Source organism: Homo sapiens, chromosome 12 (assembly GCF_000001405.40).
Source record: "Homo sapiens chromosome 12, GRCh38.p14 Primary Assembly".
Taxonomy (NCBI): Eukaryota; Metazoa; Chordata; class Mammalia; order Primates; family Hominidae; genus Homo; species Homo sapiens.
In genome coordinates, this window is record NC_000012.12 from 130,800,179 (window position 1) to 130,818,851 (window position 18,673).

General features: G+C 45.8%; 1 protein-coding gene and 1 pseudogene across 20 annotated transcripts in view, besides 3 other annotated features; one reads left to right on the forward strand and one right to left on the reverse strand.

The window, feature by feature from the left end:
- STX2 (syntaxin 2) overlaps nucleotides 1-18,673 on the reverse strand; it is a 49,651-nt gene that overhangs the window by 10,579 nt on the left and 20,399 nt on the right. For 12 of the 20 annotated variants that reach the window (NR_182217.1, NM_001413773.1, NM_001351049.2 and 9 more), the window contains exons 4-8: nucleotides 12,779-12,853; nucleotides 8,453-8,526; nucleotides 6,804-6,912; nucleotides 1,237-1,310; nucleotides 975-1,112 (exon numbers count right to left, since the gene is read on the reverse strand). Coding sequence is in view for 18 of the 20 variants with exons in the window: in NM_001413773.1 (NP_001400702.1) it covers nucleotides 975-1,112; nucleotides 1,237-1,310; nucleotides 6,804-6,912; nucleotides 8,453-8,526; nucleotides 12,779-12,853 (470 nt within the window). In the remaining 2 variants the exon portion in view is untranslated. Of the gene's footprint in view, nucleotides 1-974; nucleotides 1,113-1,236; nucleotides 1,311-3,474; nucleotides 4,366-6,803; nucleotides 6,913-8,452; nucleotides 8,527-10,603; nucleotides 10,760-12,131; nucleotides 12,266-12,778; nucleotides 12,854-18,673 lie in introns of those variants that run through there. The other 8 variants (NR_182216.1, NM_001351051.2, NM_001351052.2 and 5 more) reach the window with 8 other exon arrangements.
- Nucleotides 5,716-6,638: an enhancer, noted in NCBI's record as "H3K27ac-H3K4me1 hESC enhancer chr12:131290439-131291361 (GRCh37/hg19 assembly coordinates)". NCBI's record gives its function as "activates a minimal SCP1, AML or CMV promoter by ChIP-STARR-seq in primed H9 embryonic stem cells {active_cell/tissue: H9 hESC(primed)}" and the evidence as "EXISTENCE:reporter gene assay evidence [ECO:0000049][PMID:30033119]".
- Nucleotides 11,505-11,688: a silencer, noted in NCBI's record as "fragment chr12:131296228-131296411 (GRCh37/hg19 assembly coordinates)". NCBI's record gives its function as "represses an EF-1alpha promoter that drives an FKBP-Casp9 reporter gene in an ReSE screen in phorbol 12-myristate 13-acetate-treated (for megakaryocytic differentiation) K562 erythroleukemia cells {active_cell/tissue: K562(+PMA)}" and the evidence as "EXISTENCE:reporter gene assay evidence [ECO:0000049][PMID:32094911]".
- Nucleotides 13,691-13,930: an enhancer, noted in NCBI's record as "active region_7347". NCBI's record gives its function as "activates an Ori minimal core promoter by ATAC-STARR-seq in GM12878 lymphoblastoid cells {active_cell/tissue: GM12878}" and the evidence as "EXISTENCE:reporter gene assay evidence [ECO:0000049][PMID:35858748]".
- Nucleotides 15,175-15,272, forward strand: LOC124903117 (uncharacterized; annotated as a pseudogene).

Consider the following 18,673-nt stretch of genomic DNA (forward strand, 5'->3'; position numbering starts at 1 on the left):
TTCAAAGACAAAGAGCGAGTGTGAACATACCCATGCACATCACAGAGCATGTGATCTGTGATCCATCCCGTACTTTACATGGAGAGTTCAATATATACATACATACATATATATGTGTGTATTTTTTTTTTTTTTTTTTGGAGACAGGGTCTCACTCTGTCACCCAGGCTGGAGTGTAGTGGCATGATCATAGCTCACCACAGCCTTGAACTCATGGGCATAAACAATCCTCCCACCTCAGCCTCCCAGAGGAGTTTTCTATTTATTAAGAATTGCATTAACTCTTCGGTTCACTCAGAAGGGCCTTTCCACACCTGCTTTCACTCCCTATCTGTGTTACTGGGCAGATGGGAAACCCCGTGTAACAGGCACAAGCTTGCATCTGTGTCATAGATTGTATCCCCACTTGGGGTTGATTCTTTCAGACATTTCTCCTAGTTATTACTGTAATATATGCTTCTTATAGAAAATCTGAAAATAAATACTTTTAGAGAAGATTAAAATTCCCATAGTCTCACTGCCATTACACTGTTTGATATACGCCTTTCCTTCTGTGGATACTGTTTTATGGAGCCAAGCTCGTGCCATGTGTTTGTGTTTATGTACTCATACATATGTACGGGCATACACAGAAGATCTTTGTATCTCCCTTTTCTCTTAATTCTAGCACAAACATCTGCATATTTCAGTAAGAATTCTCCATGAACAAAGTTTAGGTTGCCTATGGTTGCCTAAAAGGCTGACCTATGAACACTCCATAATTTAATCAACTGAACCAGTCCCTTCCTGTTAACAGTTCAACTGTTAAAGCTGCTTCCAGCATTTCAGCATCACATATAACACTGCAATTAACCTGAATTTGGTGGATCCAAAATAACAGCTTTCCTAGATACATCCACTAGACAGAGTGGGATGCAGTAAGATTTTACACATGACTGATATCTCTCTTGGAGAATGCAAGAGTCTGTAACTACCTGAGTCTCCACAAACATAGCCATGTCCATGAACATCTCATGCAACTCTCGGATGCTGGTCTCCAGCTTCATGATGTCCTTGTGACGTGACTCGATTTCATTGAGAGCTTGTCTAGTAATTTGTGAATCTGATATAATCTTGGAAAAACAAAAATAAAAGATAATATTAATAAACTTATGATGGGTTTGGAAGTTAAAGGGTTTTTAAAAAGCTCTGTCTACAGAAGAGGACATGGAGCCACAGGGCCGCACCCCCACTCACGTCGGAAGTGAAGATGGATGGCTTCCCGCTCTCCAGCATCTCTTCTAGCTCGTCGTCTGTGGTGGTTCTCCCAGCTGAAAGACCCGCAACCACAGCCCCACTCAGAATGCAGCACAATTTAAAAACAAAGCCATTTGCAACCATAAGTTAGCAACTACAATCATAGTTGTTAGCATTTTTCAGTAATTTTTTTAACCTTTTCTTAAGCAGATATTGACAATGAGAAGTGAACCTAAGATTGAGGAGCAAGAAGAAATAAAAATACTCCGAGAAACTTTGTAAATGTTATAAACAATAAAATTTCATTTTAATATTAGTGAGAAACAACTGCAGAAAGGAAATCGGTAAACAATGTCTCGGCACACTGGTTTCCCTAAGAGTTTAACTCCGCCTCATGTAAAAGGGGGTTGAGCTGAATGTAGCATGTATTAAATGAGGATCAATAAAGTCCACGTAATGAGAGTCAGATGCCTGAACACTTTCCATGTTTGGAAGTTAATGCTTTCCTTTTGAGTTAAATGTGTAATGACTTCGAAGAAACATGTACACAGGTTTTGGAAACCTAATTGTTAATTACTATTTTTCATAGTTTGTGCCACAGAAGACAAAAGTAAATGAATAAATGTCATAATTCAAATGTCATCTAATAAGCAGCATTATTCATAATTGCCAAAAAGTGGAAACAACGCAAACGTCCGTCCCCCGATGCCTGAAGGAGCTAACTGCGGTCTAGCTGCACACTGACATACGACTCAGCCACAAAAACAAAGGACGCTTTTGGTTTTTGTCGCTTTGTTTTTTGAGACAGGGTCTCACTCTGTCGCCCAGCCTGGAGTGCAGGGGCACCGTCGCAGCTCACTGCAACCTCTTCCTCCCGGGTTCAAGCAATTCTCATGCCTCTGACCCCTGAGTGGTGGGGACTACACGCGTGCGTCACCACGCCCGGCTAATTTTTGTATTTTTAGTAGAGGTGGGGTTTCACCATTTTGGCCAGGCTGGTCTCGAACTCCTGACCTCAAGTGATCTGCCCACCTCAGCCTCCCAAAGTGCTCGGATTGCAGGTGTGAGCCACCGTACCCAGCCCTTTTTATTTTTTTAACAAAGATACGGTCTCACTCTGTCACCCAGACTGGAGTGTAGTGGTGCAATCTCAGCTCACTGCCGCTTTGACCTCCTAGGCTCAAGCAATCCTCCTGCTCCAGCCTCCCAAGTGACTGTGATTATAGGCACACACCCATGCCTGGTTTATTTTTATTTTTTTTTACAGAGATGGGGTTTTGCTATGTTGTCAAGCTGGTCTTGAACTCCTGGCCTCAAGCGATCCTTCCACCTTGGCTTCCCAACCAACACGCTGGGATTAGTATACATGTGAGCCACCACACCCTGCCCACCCCATGGTGAAACCTTGGAAAAACTGTGTTACAGGAAAGAAGTCAGTCACAGAACACATAGTGTATAATTCCATTTATATGAAACATCCAAAATGGGAAAATGTACAGGAGTAAAAAGTAGAATGCAGTTGTCTTGGGCTAGGAGAGGAAATGGGGAATGACTGGTGGTGGGTGTGAAGTTTCTTTTTGGGTTGATAAAAGTGTTTTAAATTGATTGTGTGTGGAAATACACCAAAAACCACTGAATTAATTGTATGCTCCAAATATCATTCACATATTAAGAGATTTACTTCTCAATAAAGTTGTTGAGATGTCATTTAATGAAAAAAGTTTTAAAGTTAGTAAATTGCAAAATTTGTTTACTTACACTATTTTTTGGGAGGTAATTCTCAATCATTTAAAAATCTATTTGAGAGCACACATGGTGGTTTACATGTATAATCCCAGTGCTTTGGGAGACCAAGGTGGAAGGATTGCTTGAGGCTAGGAGTTTGAGACTAGCCTGGGCAACACAGCAAGACCCTATCTCTACAAAAAATAAAATAAAACTTAAAAATCTATTCAAAATAGCTCAATAAGGAGATTCTCTGAGTTTTGCTTTGCTTTTTTAAAAACATGAAACTTGTTCTAAATAATGTAAAATATAATCATCAAAACTAGAAATTTCAGCTTGGGCAACATAGTGAAAACCTCGTCTCTACAAAAAATAAAATTAGCCAGGTATGGTGGTGTGCTTCTGTGGTCCCAGCTACTCGAGAGGCTGAGGTGGGAGGATCCCTTGGATCCAGGAGTTCAAGGCCACAATAAGTGGTTATCACAACACTGCACTCCAGCCTGGGTGACAGCGTGAGGCTCTCTCTCAAAAAAAAAAAAAAAAAAAAAAACAAACTAAAAGTTACAGTTCATGTCTCACGTTCACAAAGGTCTTCCCACCGGCTAACTGCTAAGTCTAAGAAACAGCCTGGGGTTACAGAATGTGAAATGCAGTATACATTCGTAATTCCTTATCCAGAATGCTGAAATCCACAACATTATGAAAACTGGGTTTTCCTTAAGCTCGATGTCAAAATTCAATGAGCGGCAAAATCTGACCTAAACTGAGTCATGGCTATTTATAATCTTAACTCCTCCCCCTTACTGTGAATACTCACATTTCACTGGAGAGCTGTGTGAATGTGCCTGATTACAGGGTGCAGTCCTAGACCCCACCTGGGGATTACATAATACACCTCTTATACATTGTACTATCTTCCTAAAATCTGAAAAATTCTGAACTCTGAAACACATACAGCCCCAACCATTCCAGAGAAAGCACTGTGGACCTATGTAACATGCCCTGGTCCAAGAAGAAACTCACTTGCCATTTGAAGAAACAAAGCATACAGCACAGGAAAAGATATCCTGTGATACAAGGTAAGAAACCTGCCTGATGACAGGGCTGACGGAAGGAAGAAAGAAAGGGGACAAAATGGTTTTAGGTGCAAGGATTTGGAGAAGACCACTGTATGAAGACAGCCCGCTGTGTGGCCAGAGTGACGCCATCCTGAAGCAAAACCACCGTGATGACCGATGCTCGACTCGTGCATGCCAAGCTGTTCTGCAATGAGGTCTGAAGACGATGCCTCCGGCACAGGCAACCTCTCATCAAGATGCTCATCCAGCCTGACCAGTGGTCCCAAGTGTTGTCAAGCAAGTCAGAAGACAGGGCCGGCTGCACACGTTCTACCCTGAAAGCCTGCTGTATAAAGAACACTTTCTGAGGGCAGGCGGCTGTGGGGTCCACCGTCTCTGTCTCTCGGGGGCTTCTGTTCGTACGTCCCTAGCCAATGTTTCCTTCGAGAAACTGGATTTGTTAGCCTCTTTCTTTGGCGTCTCAGCTCGCTCAGCCTTTGGGGGTGAGTTTGCATAGACCTGCTCACTTCGGAATAGCCACATGGAGGGTTTAGAATTTAACAGACTTAAAGGAATTACTAAAAAAAACTCCCAACACGTATATGATACTTCATTGCTTATAAGACACTTTCACAAACAGTACTGCATTCGATAGAGTATGATTGCAAGAGAAGAAACTGGAAATGAATTCTGTGGGCTGAGATAGAATAATGTGGGAAAGAGAGAAGAGACTTAGGCGATCTGATCACGCCACCGGATTCACATGGGGAGTGAAGACAGGATGGACCTGCAGGAGAGATGGTGCGGGGCCTTCAAGCCCAGGCTGGGGAACTCTGTGCTAGAAAAGCGCTCACCACAGAGTCCCAGAGCATAAATCCTCACAGTGCAACCGGCTGCCTGTAATGATGACTTTCACTTTAAAAAGTACTAACAGATCCCTGAAGTCAAAGTGGTTTGTAAAAACTTTTTCATAGAAAAGCAGTCTAGTCGACATCATGATTGAGCATTTCTGCCAGGATGGAGCAACAGGGACCGTATTTTCCCTGCCACTTGAAATAACCACAAACCCACCAAAATCTACAAAACGATTTCCAAGACACTGAGCATCAGGCCACACACTGATTCCCAACAGATGGAAACAAGCCAGGTGAGCCTGCTGCTGCCCTCAGACGGAACTCTCGTGTCAGCCACAGAGCAGAAAGGGCCCAGGTGGAGCCCAGGGGAAGTCCTAAGGCAAAGGCACAGAGCTCAGGGGAGACCAAGGCAACTGGATTTGCAAGATGGAGTATGAGAGATGAGAGAGATGCAGAGAGCGAGCTGCACAGACCCCGCATGCTCACTGGAGTGCTGACCAGCATGCCAGAGGGAACACGCTGCCAGGCAGACGAGGGTGCCATGAGGTTCACGGCCATCAGAGCAGGTGCTCAGAAGGGTCTTACCTCAGGAGTGAGGAATGACAGGCCCTCAAATAAAGCTGCTCTGCTCCCTCTAAATGCAAGATCCCAAAGGCTAAACCATGCTCATGTGATTTAACTACATTCTAAAACAAAGCCCAAGGAGATTTACAAAAATACTCAAAATACAGAAATACTCAGCACCCAACAAAGTAACGTTCACAATGTCTGGCACACACTCGAAACTTACCAGGCTCGCAAAGAAGCAGGAAAACACAAGCCACAGAAAGGAAGGAAATCAACCAACCAGAGCAGACAGGACACTGGAGTTGGCAGACAAAGACGGTTCAAGTTACTACAAGTGCGTCCCAGTTGTACAGTGGGGAGCAACACAGCAGACATGTAAAACACCCAGCAGAACTAGCAACAGAAACCAGTGTCTCCGATGAAACATACACCAGAGGAGGTTAAAGGCAGATCAGACAAGCAAGAGAAACTGACCAAAACCAAACACACTGGAAAAGAGTATCTAAAACATGAGGAGCCTCGCTGAGCTGTGGGACAAGGTCAAGCGGCCTGGCGGGCATATGACAACATTCTCTGAGGGGGATGTGCGGCGTTGGGAGCCGGGATGGGCCTGAGGCTTCATCTGACCTGCGAGCTGACACGCTGGCCTGCCAGGGCTCCGTGGGGGCCGGCAGAAGGTCCAAGGCCCCAGGTCAGGGACAAAGGGATTTCCTACTCACAGCACAGCAGGCAACCTGAGGCTCATGAGCAGCTGTCCACGGCCCCCAGTCTCATGGGGAGAGGCAGAGCAGCTGCAGTGGGACGTCCTCACAGTGGGTTTGTGTCACAGCTGAAGGACCCGAGCTTGGGAACCCCAATCTTTCACAATGGGGAGTCTACAAACCTGACCAACCTTTATCCCTGAAACAGACCCGTCTGTCCCCGAAGAAGGCGCCATCTCCACTGCCACAGCCAACTGTCCCCATAGACACCCCTGAAAAGAGTCTGGGGCAATAGGGCCGCTGCCTCTGCTCACAGACAAGGAGAGATGTGAGGAGCCATGAAGATGCCCCCGAACCAGGGCAGGGCGGGACTGAGGACACAGAAACACTCAAAGAGGAAATGACTGAGCACTCTCCCAATCTCCCTGAAACTCTAAAAGCAACAGCAATGAGCAAGGTAAACCCCACCGCTTAGGACTTCCTGAAGACAGGAAGAACAGGTTTGCCTGACTCACGGCATAGGAAGCTACGAGTGGTCTTTGGGTTTTACACTATTGGTGAAAATAGACATGGATTTCCTTTTCTGAAGTTAAAGTCATTTGAAGTGAGACCTTAAGGGAGAAAAACATGATTTTAACAAAGACGGAGTCTCCATTACTCACTTATCTCCAGCTGGCGCTGGATGCGGCCTTTGCTCCGCTCCCGAAACAGAGTCTGTGCCTCATTGTACTCCGCCATGGCTTCCACAAACTTCCGAGACAGCACCGAATGCTAACAACACAGGAAAACTACATTCGTATCTGAGGGCCATGCCTTCTACTGAAAGTGACATGCAAGACATGCATTTTGGAAACTCAAACTACATGTTATTCTGCTCCTGCAAATGGAAAATGACAATGGCAAAGTCCCCATGGCAGCATCTGTGCTAAGAACTTTGCATGCATGATCTTACCTAATTTTTACAAGACCCCTACTATGCCGGTCACAACCCTACTTAAAGAAAACCATGACTTTGAGGTCATTAGCCCAAGGTCACAGGCTTTTCTGATAAACACAGATCAGCACTGGGACCCAGGCAGGTGGACCCCAGAGCCCGCGTGCTTCATCGCCTTGTGCCCATGAGGGGACCCAGGCAAGCGGACCCCAGAGCCCGCGTGCTTCATCGCCTTGTGCCCATGAGGGGACCCAGGCAGGCGGACCCCAGAGCCTGCGTGCTTCATCGCCTTGTGCCCATGAGGGGACCCAGGCAGGCGGACCCCAGAGCCCGCGTGCTTCATCGCCTCGTGCCCTCGAGGCCTCAGGGCTCTGTCTTCCTCTGGGCAGTACCACAAACCACTAAAACGTGGCGGCCTTACCACAAACACTAAAATCATTTGGATAATTCCCTACTCTTTGGAATAGAACTCTGTTGATGGACCGAATAGATTTTTCTTCACAATAAAGAGATTTCTATAAATACTGTGAAAGGAAAATAAAATCGCAGGACCTCACACTCACTATCCCAAAGGGACAGTTAAGCTTGGGAACTGAGTCATGCAAAACACTGCCCTCCCTCCTCTTCTCAAACAGATGGCTGCAGTGACAGAAGGCCGCACATCGCCCCAGCAGCCTCCTGCACAAAGTGCTCACAAGGAAATTCCTCGTAGGTCCCAGAATCTTTCAGAATCCATATCCCCCCCACCAAAAACTAACTCTAAAACAGAGTTCTGCAGAATCTCACCCTGACAATGTACATTAGCCGCTTACCTTCACAGGTACAGGACAAAGACAAGACTAGAAGTCACCCTCGGCCCACCCTGAGAAATGCATGTATAGCTCCTCCCTCACCTCAGGCTCACACTGGCCCACGTAAGAGGCGGATCTGGGCACGGGAGGAGTGCAGAATCGACCCCCACTCCTCTCTTCCCACATGTGAAATGTGAACGCAGTGAGCCCTGAGCAAAGCCTCACAGCAGTGTGGCCACCCCGCTGCCTACCCCCACTTTTTCTCTTTTTTTTCCCCTTTCCTCCTTCCTCTCCTGCCCGCTCTTTCCCCTTTAAATACTGAAGTCCTCAAAACCCTCTTCAGGAAAGGCACAAACCACAGATCCTACTCTAATTTGTATTTCTTTTCTCCAAGTGTGTCCTCAACTTTGGCAAAATAAACCTCTGTCTCAGATACTTTTGTTTTACAATACTATATTATTTTTGTGCAGAAATACTATGAGGATAAGCATGACAGTAAAGATGAAATTATTCAGAGTCTGCAAGAAGAAAGTAAAAACACTTATTCTGCGACATTACTTTAATCTAAACGAGGCTGATAGCAAACCTGGGTTCTTCGTATCCGAAGATCCACTGAAGTCCGGTTCCCACTCTCATCCTGATCAAAACTTTGTTCAATAGCTAGGAACAAATAGGAAATAATTACCTTCCAAATTTAAAAATGAAAATGTTCCAAGCCTGACTTCAAATTCCTTTTATTTCTTATCTTTGAAGTATCTTTATAAAACTAAAGCTAATGAACAAGTGACCTTCTAAAACAATCTACTAAAAAGACAATCCCTCAATAGGAAATTATTTTCTGAGACAAGGTCTGGCTCTATCACCCGGGCTGCAGTGCAGGGGCACAATCTCGTCTCACTGCAACCTCTGCCTCCCAGGCTCAAGCAGTCCTCCCACCGCAGCCTCCCGAGTAGCTGGAATTACAGGCGTGTGCCACCACATCCAGCTAATTTTTGTATGTTTTGTACAGACGGGATTTTGCCATGTTGCCCAGGCTGGTCTCGAACTCATGAGCTCAACTGATCCGCCTGCCTTGGCATCCCAAAGTGCTGGCATTACAGGTGCGAGCCACTGCGCCCAACCCCATCAAGAGGAAACATGTATATGTAGATACACACAGATATATATACATACACACATATATACACAGATACACACAGATATATATACACACATATATACAAATACATGGAAAACACACATACAAAAAAATGGAAACATAACCAACAAACTTTAAAACTGGGTACCACTAAAGGGAAAGGAGAAACAAGGGGACGATGAAGAAAGAAGCTAGACTCCGAATATGTTTTATATATTTGACGTCAGAATGACATAAATACTTCACAAAACTTAATGCAAAATTAAATTTAAAAAAATTAATCCCTAAACTTCAAAGAAAAAATAAAGCAAACCTAACAGTAAGTCAAGTTAATGATATAAACATACAGAGGAGCCGGGTGCAGTGGCTCACGCCTGTAATCCTAGCACTTTGGGAGGCTAAGGCAGGCGGATCACTTGAGGCCAGGGGTTCGAGACCAGCGTGGCCAACATGGTGAAACCCTGTCTCTACTACAAATACAAAAATTAGCTGGGTGTGGTGGCGGGTGCCTGTAATCCCAGCTACTCGGGAGGCTGAGGCAGGAGAATTGCTTGAACTCAGGAGGCGGAGGTTGCAGTGAGCCGAGATAGTGCCATTGCACTCCAGCCTAGGCGACAAGAGCGAAACTCCATCTCAAAAAAATAAACACACAGAGGAAAAACTATTCAAAGCAACTTTAAAACCCAGTAATTTGTAGCTGGACACAGTGGCGTGTACCTGTAGTCACAAGTGCTCGGGGGATCACTTCAGCCTAGGAGTTCGAGGCTGTAGTGCGCTATGATCACACTGGTGAACAGTCACTGCACTCCAGCCTGGCCAGCACAGCAAGACCCCAGGTCAAACAACAACAACAACAACAAAAAGTAATTTGATTATCTAGCCCAGTGGGATATACCTATAGACAAAAAGAATGACACAAAAAATAAAAAATAAACCTTTAAGTAATCATACTCTTGACAGTAGATGCTGGCATAATTATTTTGAGTCTGTTGTGTGTGTACTATGAATAGCAAGTGAATAATTATGTGTCAGTGAGAACCAGAATTTGGGGCATAGTTGAAAGGAAATAAAGATGTAATATTGCCCTTATTAAGTAAAAATCCTTTCAAAAAAATTTTTAGTCCTTCCTTTATTCTTAATTTAATTTGGATTCTCAGTAACAAATCATGATTCATTTTATCTTTTAAAAAAATCTTAGCCCAGTCCACTGAAAAAGCCTAGGAAAGAATGGTCAGGTCATCGTCATGTATAGCAATACATTCCCCAGCATGCTGACCTCGGTGTCTAGATCACATTCTTCAGACACAGGAGCAGGGCTTCCTGGGGAAATGGCTGATGCCAGGCCCAGGGAGGAAAGGGGTGAAATGAGCATGGGGACTTTTGTCACAGCAAAAAGTGGAAAGGCTGTCACAGACAATGAGGGGCCTACCAAAAGGACTCAAGAGTCCACCCTACTAGCCAAAGAGACCATCTGAGCATTAAGGATAATGCAGCAATGAAAACATCAGATGTGTTTAAATCCATGTGTTCACGATGATGGACGACAAGCAGCAACAGAGACTCTCCCTGGTCATCTCTGGAGGACCCCAGGGAACTGACCTATGAAAATTATACCAGAGAGAGAGAGAGTCCAACGCTGATCCTCTCTGTCCTCCATGATCTGTGACCCAGAATGTGCTTTGGCTCCCTTGGTTGGAGAAGCCAGGTCATTCGTCCTACAGAACCTGCCACACTGCACATTTTGCTGATTTCACCCTGCAACACATTCAGTAAGCTCTGCTGTCCTCTGTATTTACTGTGGGCTCATAGTTAAATTCTCCAAACTACCCAATTCAAGAGTTGAAGGGGAAAGGTTTCTTTTTAACTATTCCAGCAACTAAACAAAGAAGGAAGAATAAAATCAGGATATTCATGCTTGTAATCCCAGCACTTTGGGAGGCTGAGACTGGCGGATCATTTGAGGTCAGGAGTTTGAGACCAGCCTGGCCAACATGGCGAAACCCCATCTCTACTAAAAATACAAAAATTAGCCAGGCGTGGTGGCGGGCGCCTGTAGTCCCAGCTACTCAGGAGGCTGAGGCAGGAGAGTCGCTTGAGTCCAGGAGGTGGAGGTTGCAGTGAGCCGAGATTGTGCCACTGCACTTCAACCTGGGTGACAGAGTGAGACTCTGTCTCAAAAAAAAAAAAAAAAAATCAGGATATTACTGCTTGCAACTTCTAATGAATTATGGATCTTGGAAATAATCATCCATTTTTGACAATATCACAGAATAGAAAAGAATGTTATATCTTATTTAAAATTTTACTGAACTTACTTAGAGCCAAGAAAAAATGTTAATGTCACCATTAACATCTTTTTTTTTTTTTTTTTTTTTGAGATGGAATCTTGCTCTGTCGCCCAGGCTGGAGTGCAGTGGCGTGATCTCGGCTCACTGCAAGCTCTGCCTCCTGGGTTCACGCCATTCTCCTGCCTCAGCCTCCTGAGTAGCTGGGACTACAGGCACCCGCCACTGCGCCCAGCTAATTTTTTGTATTTTTAGTAGAGACGGGGTTTCACCGTGTTAGCCAGGATAAGTCTCGATCTCCTGACCTTGTGATCCACCCGCCTCGGCCTCCCAAAGTGCTGGGATTATAGGCGTGAGCCACCGTGCCAGGCCACCATTAACATCTTAACGTAACCATGAGGACATAAAATCTGTAATCAGATGCTGCATCTTTACATTTTAAAAACCCACAAAAAACACCTGAATCAGATAAAGCTTGGAGAATTTAACTACCAACCTACAGCAAATTCAGAGGACGGCAGAGCCTATTAAATGTGCTGCAGAGGTAAAATCAGCAAAATCTGCAGCATGGCAGATTCTGTAGGACAAATGACCTGGTTTCACCAACCAAAGGAAAAAGTGCAGAGAGAAAAATCATGAAGGGAGAATCTCATTTTTAAAAGCCAGGGTTTGGTCCTTATTTGGGACTCAATTCAAGCAAACTGTTTAAAAAAAAAAAATCGTAAGACCACTGGGGAAATTCTGCCTGGATATTCTGTACTATTAAGTAATTATAATGAATTTGGGTTTAGATATAATTGTGGTTGTGCTTTTGGGGAAGCTTCTGTTTTTGAAATACACACTGATGAAATCTCAGATGCCTGGGATGGGCTTCAGAATAGTCTGGGAGCGGGTGCGGGTGGGAGCTCATGGAGAACTGTGGAGCTGGGGGGTCGGCTTGTGGTCGCCTCTCTCTGCTTCTGCACACATCTGAAACCTGCCGTAATAAAAGTATTTTATCATCTGCACAGAGATTGTTTTTGATCTTGATGCCATTCTGCAAAAATCAAATACAACATGTTTTCTACCAAATCGAGAAAAAGCAACCTCTGTTTAAGTCCCCTGTTTTACATGACAAAGCTATAAGCCTCCCAAAAAACTACTGCTGCTAAAGTGGAATGCCAAACATCATCGAATAAATTCTACAGAAAGTTTGAAAGAAATGAGCAATTAAAGGGTCCATTCAAGAAGAGCCTGGCAACTCACCTTCCCAAACATCTGCAACTTAGCCTGAAATGTCATCAAAAATGTAACAGTATAACAGTTTATAAGCAAACACATAACCTTTTTGAATATTAATTAGTACTCTGAATTACATACAAATAATTTATTTTAAAGCAGTCACTATTTTAATTTTTAAAAATGTAAAAGAACAAAAACCAATAAAGAAAAAAATAACAAATACCCATACTCCCAACATCAATAATTAAACATAAAACTTCAAACTTACCCTTTAACTTGGCTCGAATTTTATTCGCAGTTTTCTTGATTTCTTTGTTCAGATCTTCAAGCTCTTCTTTTATTTCTATAAAAATTTAAAATTAAAAAATAAAATACAGCATCTGAGCTATAATATCCAACATAAATGATATCCAATAAATTTAAGTGAAACAGTATCCTTAGTAAATATTCACTTTTTTTCTGTAAGAAAAACTACCGCTTATACCAGTGGTTCTCAAGGTGGGTCCCTAGACAGCAGCTTTCATAAATATCAGGTGGCAGCTTAGTAGAAACACAAATCCCTGGGGCCCACCCTGGACCTACTCAGAAACTGAGGTGGGGACAGTGGCCCAGCAATCTGAGTTAGCAAACCCTCCAGGTGACACAAGTTTGAGACTTGCTGCTCTATACCCATGAATGAAACTGCTGCCTAAATCCACTGCTAACACCTAGACCTGGGAAAGGAAAACGGAGACGTAACGATGATCTCAACAAAGTCTCCCGTGTGTGTGCTTTTCTCTTGTGCTGTCAGCTGTCTCCCCAAAACGCCCGAATAATCACAGCCACCACTTCAGGGCTGCTGGGCCGGTCGCCCTGGCCTGGCTTCTCAGACACTCAGGGCTGCAAGCAGGGGGCGATGGAGGCAGGGGCCGGCCTCCTAACACGGAGGGAGGCCAGCAGAGCAGGAGCTGACACTCCAGGGCAGTGCTGAGACCTAAGGCCACCCAGGGCGTCATAGCAGCCTCTGCTTTCATGCCTAGCTGCCCCAGAGCCCAGGGAGGGTGGCAGGATGTCTGCTCCATGCCGCACACTCACATTTGCCAGTCCAGTGGCTGAAGTGACCAGAAGGGAAGGGGGTTTCTCTCTCCTTTGGGCAGAAGTTGCTGAAACAGGAAGGCCCCCGCCCCGTCTCTGGAGTCCTGTTGTCGTTTTAGAGAGTCCTGCACTTGCCTCTCTCACTCAATCTCACACGCATCAGCCGGGGAAAAGGCAAACGTTTCTGCCGTAGACAACTTGGCCAAGAATGAAAGCTTTCAGAGATGCCCACTCTCTTCCTGACACCCCCTCAGCTGAGCATACGCAGGGTGCCCCGAGTACCCACTGCACACAAGCGTGTGCTAAGTCTTCTTTCCATGCTCAGCTACAGTCATCAGACGCAGCCTGGCTCGTCCAGGGTTTCAGAGCCAGATCAGAGACTGAGTGATCTCCAGAGGTGACAGGTCACGCACCAGTGACACCTACTGAGTACTTTCTGTGTGCAGGCCCGTGTCATCTAAGGAGGCTAACAAGACCGCCAGGGACCTAACAACTCGGTAAAAACAGACAAGACAAACCCAGGAAGCGCCAATGCCACGCAGAGACTAACAACGGACGAGACAGGGTTCACAAAATGCCATGGGCAGCGAGGAGGAGAAGCGTCTGCTGCAGCTGTCCCACAGGAGGGGACATCTGACCTGGGAGTGGAGAGACTGGTGGCTTCCATTCCAGGCAGAAGAAGGGTCTATGGCACAGAGCAGCGGGACGGTGGGCTGTAGTGACTGGCGTGGGAGGAGGCCAACTACAGGCTGCCTGGGCAGGAGTGTGCAGGCCCAGCTGAGTTTGGGGCTTTTACTGAGGGCACCAGTCAGCACTGAAGGTTTCTCAGCAAAGAAAGGCATCAGCAAAGATGCATTAGAAAGACTTTTTTTTTTTTTTTTTTTTTTTTTTGAGACAGAGTCTTGCTCTTGTCACCCAGGCTGGAGTGCAGTGGCACAATCTCGACTCGTTGCAACTTCCGCCTCCTGGGTTCAAGCGATTCTCCTGCCTCAGCCTCCCAAGTAGCTGGGATTACAGGCCTCCGCCACCACACCCAGCTAATTTTTGTATTTTTAGTAGAGATGGGGTTTCGCCATATTGGCCAGGCTGGTCTTGAGCTCCTGACCTCGAGATCCGCCCACCTCAGCCTCCCAAAGTGCTGGGATTACAGGCGTGAGCCACTGCATCCAGCCTAAAAAGATTATTTTTAAGCAAGGCACAGTGGCGTGCACCTGTAGTCCCAGCTACTTCAGAGGCTGAGGCAGGAGGATCACTTAAGCCTAGGACTTTAAGGCCAACCTGGGCAACTAGCAACATGCCATCTCTATTTAAAAAAGGAAAGAAAAAGAAAAAACAAAGAAAAATTATTCTGATAATGGATGAAACTAGAAAAAAAGAGAAACTAGACACAAAGGGGTCATTTCGTGATTCTCCTCTGTGAACATGTTTCTAAAGGGAGATTCTCAGGGGAATCTTTCTACCACCCCAAGGGGTATTCTGAAATTTGTGGGGTATTTCCAGTCATCATAAAAAAGGGAGAGCCACTGGCATCCAGAAGACATAAGCCAGGAATGGCACCAGCCAGCACCACACAACAAAGAACTGGCCTCCATCCTCCTGTAGTTCCTGAGCGTGACGACGGGGTGTTCGTGCGCGTGTGAGATGTGCCACCCTCGAACCTCATTACATCAGCACATCACCCACTGGCCTGCATAACTGCCAGATGCACGCTGCTCACTCAGGCAGGAGAAAAGACCTGTTTTCCTGAGCCCAGAACCTGACTCCAGCTTACAAATAAGCCCTGTTTTCATCTGCATCGTTTCAATATCCAGTGGATTTTCAGGAATGCAACTGCCGTGTCACCGCTCTGCATGGCGAGAAAGCTGTACTTCAGTCTATTTCAGTGACACCTACTGCCTCAGGAAAAGCACAGGGAAGCCTGCTAACGGCAGCTGAATCACAGCACCTCATCAGCTTGCAGCCTTGGCTGTGACAGTCACAGCACTTGTTTGTAGGGGGGCAAGCGCCTGAATTTTGTTTTCTGGTGTTGTGCCTGAGCCTGCACAATACAATTTGTACTTCAATATGTAAGTTACTTCCATTTTATGTCTCCTTCATATTAGTTTGGATATTATATGTTTTTTTAAAATCATGGAGGTAGGTAGGCTATATCATCTATGAACTTCATTTTAGAATAGTAAAGGGAACACAAAATGCCTTATAAAATGGGGCATTTGACAGGAATTAGAGAGACTTGCTATGAATAAAGAGGGTGGCAGGTCCATAGTTTGTGGCAGGGGTGCTGGCTCCTGTGGTGCGTGAGGCTGATGCAAACACCCCCAAGGCCTGGCCACTGTGCCTGGGGAATGAGGGCTGAGTGTAGGAGTCGAAGCTAAAACGTACACACAGCAAGGGCATTTGTGCAGGGGTCCGGCCCAGCCAGCGCCTGAGCACAGCTGAGGACGACTAGACTCGGGAGACGGTCTTGAGCCACCGCGCAGCCACAGAAACCACAAGATCTGAGAGCTGGGCCTGCCAGTGGATGAGAGTCTCCCTCTTGAGCTGGCGGGCCACAGCAGGACTCACTCCCCTGGGGAAAGAAAGCCCTTGGCCGTTACACAGCAGGGGTGGGGGGCACTCATGACGGAGTGAACTTGCTGCCACTACAGGCCCACGGGGCTTGAGCAACTCATCAGCAAAACAAAAGAGGCACTGCCTGTCTGATCCTGCAAGCTGCAGACGCAGGCCATAAGGTCACATTTGATAAAGGTGGTATTTCAAATCAGAGACCAGACGGGGATCAGGAACCTCCTCTTCCAGCGGCCTAGGTGATTCAGCTCAATCCTGCTGCTGAGAACAATTAGAAAGGGTAGACACAATACTCTTTCTAAATCTGTGTAAAGCCATTAGAAACCTAACAAGGTGCGAAAATAAATAAAATAAAATAATTAAAAAAAGAAATAAAAACAAAAGAAACCTAACAAGGCAGGAAAGAAGACTCAGAAGAAGAAAACCCAAAGACATGGGCCCCACTTTTGCAGCCACTTTTACCTGGGGGCATGTGCCAACTCCATAAAAGGCAGCTGAGCTGCAGAGAAGCTGAGAAAACTGTGCTGACTTGGAGAGACAATGCCCTAGGAGGAACAGTCAGGTGGGAAGCTGGCCCTCGCAGGGGCTGAAGCCTCAGTCTAAATCATCTCAATCCCTAAAATTAGATCCAGAATTGCTGGTGCTTCTAGCCATCTGCCAGAAATAAAAATAAATCATCTCTTTAAAAAGAAAATACCATTCAGGACTCAAATTATTACTGCAAATAATTCCAATACAAAGCTCAAAACTCAATCAAAAATAACCAGGCAAACAAAGAAAAAAAAAAACACATGAATGAAAACCCAACAAAAAGAGACAACACTAACCCATCCACAGAGGCACCAGCTAATAAAGTTACAAGACACAGACGTTAAAACAATTACATTCAAAGAGATAAAATGTAAGATCATAAATTTTGTCAGAGAATAGGACAGTATTAAAAGGAACCAAGTGGAATTCTAGGAGTTAAAACCAATCCAAAAATAATTCCATAGATGAAGAAAGATTCCCTGACCTGAAAGACAATCGCTGAAGAGAAATCAAACGATAAGTCAGGGAAAACATTTTCAAAATAAAATATATAGAGAAAAAATGATGAAAAATAGAGAACAAAAGAGGAGAGACAGAAAGGATACACTGAAACGCTCTAAAGACATACAATTCCAGCCGCAAAGAGAGATGACAGAAAACGGAGCAAGGATGCTACTTGAAGAAGTAATGGCCAAAGTTTTTCAAAAACACAGCCAGAAAACGTCAGTCCAAAGACTCAAGAAGCCTTATAAGAAGAGGGAAAAAGAAAACGAAAACCACATCTCAAAACTTCACAGTAAAACTGCTAAAACCAAAGACCAAAAACCAAATATCTTAAAAGCTCTAATTAGCTGACAAAAAAAAAAAGTAAAGCCAAAAGACACTGGAAAAATATGTTTTAAATCTTCAGAGTGGTGAAAGAAAACAACTTCTAAACTAGAATCTTCTACTCAGTGAAAATATCCTTCGAGAATAATACTAAACTGAGGATAATTTCAGATAATAGCGAATCTTCACTGAAGGAGGTAAGAAGGAAGGGGAGAGGAACCGCAAGGGCAGGAAGGCCTCGGGTGGGGTGGTCCCAGCCTGTGGTGGGGGCAGCTGGGCTGAAGCAGGGCAGGGGTCCCGGAGCCAAGACTCCCCAGGAAGGCCCTGCAGTGGGAGGGGATGCCGGAGCCTGGCCACGCAGCTCCTTACGGGGAGTACGCGCGGCTTCGTTTCTGAAGGGAGAAGGCCCCGTGAGCTGTCCCCATGCCCTGCAGGGGAGGGGACAGGAGAGGGGTAACACAGTGAGAAACGCTGTTTCTACAAAAAAAAAAAAAAAATATATATATATATATATATATATATATATATAAAATTATCTGGGCGTGGTGGCATAAACCTGTAATCCCAGCTACTCGGGAGGCTGCAGTGGGAGGACTGTCTGAGCCCAGGAGGCTGAGCCTGCAGTGGCAGTGGGCTGAGATCACGCAGCTGCACTCTCGCCTGGTCGACACAGGGAGACTCCTCTGGAGGGTGGGGGGGAGAGGGCGGGGGAGGAAGAATCACAACAGCACTGGAAGGCAGATGCCACCACTAGCTCATTTCACACGTGTGGGAACTGCCCCGGGAGAGGTTAAGTGATGCGTCCAAGGCCACACAGGGATAACCGGTGGGACAGGATCTGAATCCAGAGCCACAGAGGCGCGGCTTCCTCCAGGGCCTCAGGGGCCTCCGCACAAGGAGCCGGGTCTCCATGAGTCTGATTTCCCGCGGAAAAGCACAGAATGCACGGGAGCAGGCGGCGCTGGAGATGGAGACGATGGAGACGGTGCAGACGGTGCAGACGCTGCCCCAGCGCATTCGGAGCGGAGCCCCAGGGAACGGCTGAGGGAACAGGAAGCAGAGAAAACGGGAGCGTGCGCAGCCGCAAGGACGACCGCACCCGAACACAGGGTGCAAGCCAGGCTGACGGCTGACTGCAGGAGCGAATCAAATCCCCGCCGTC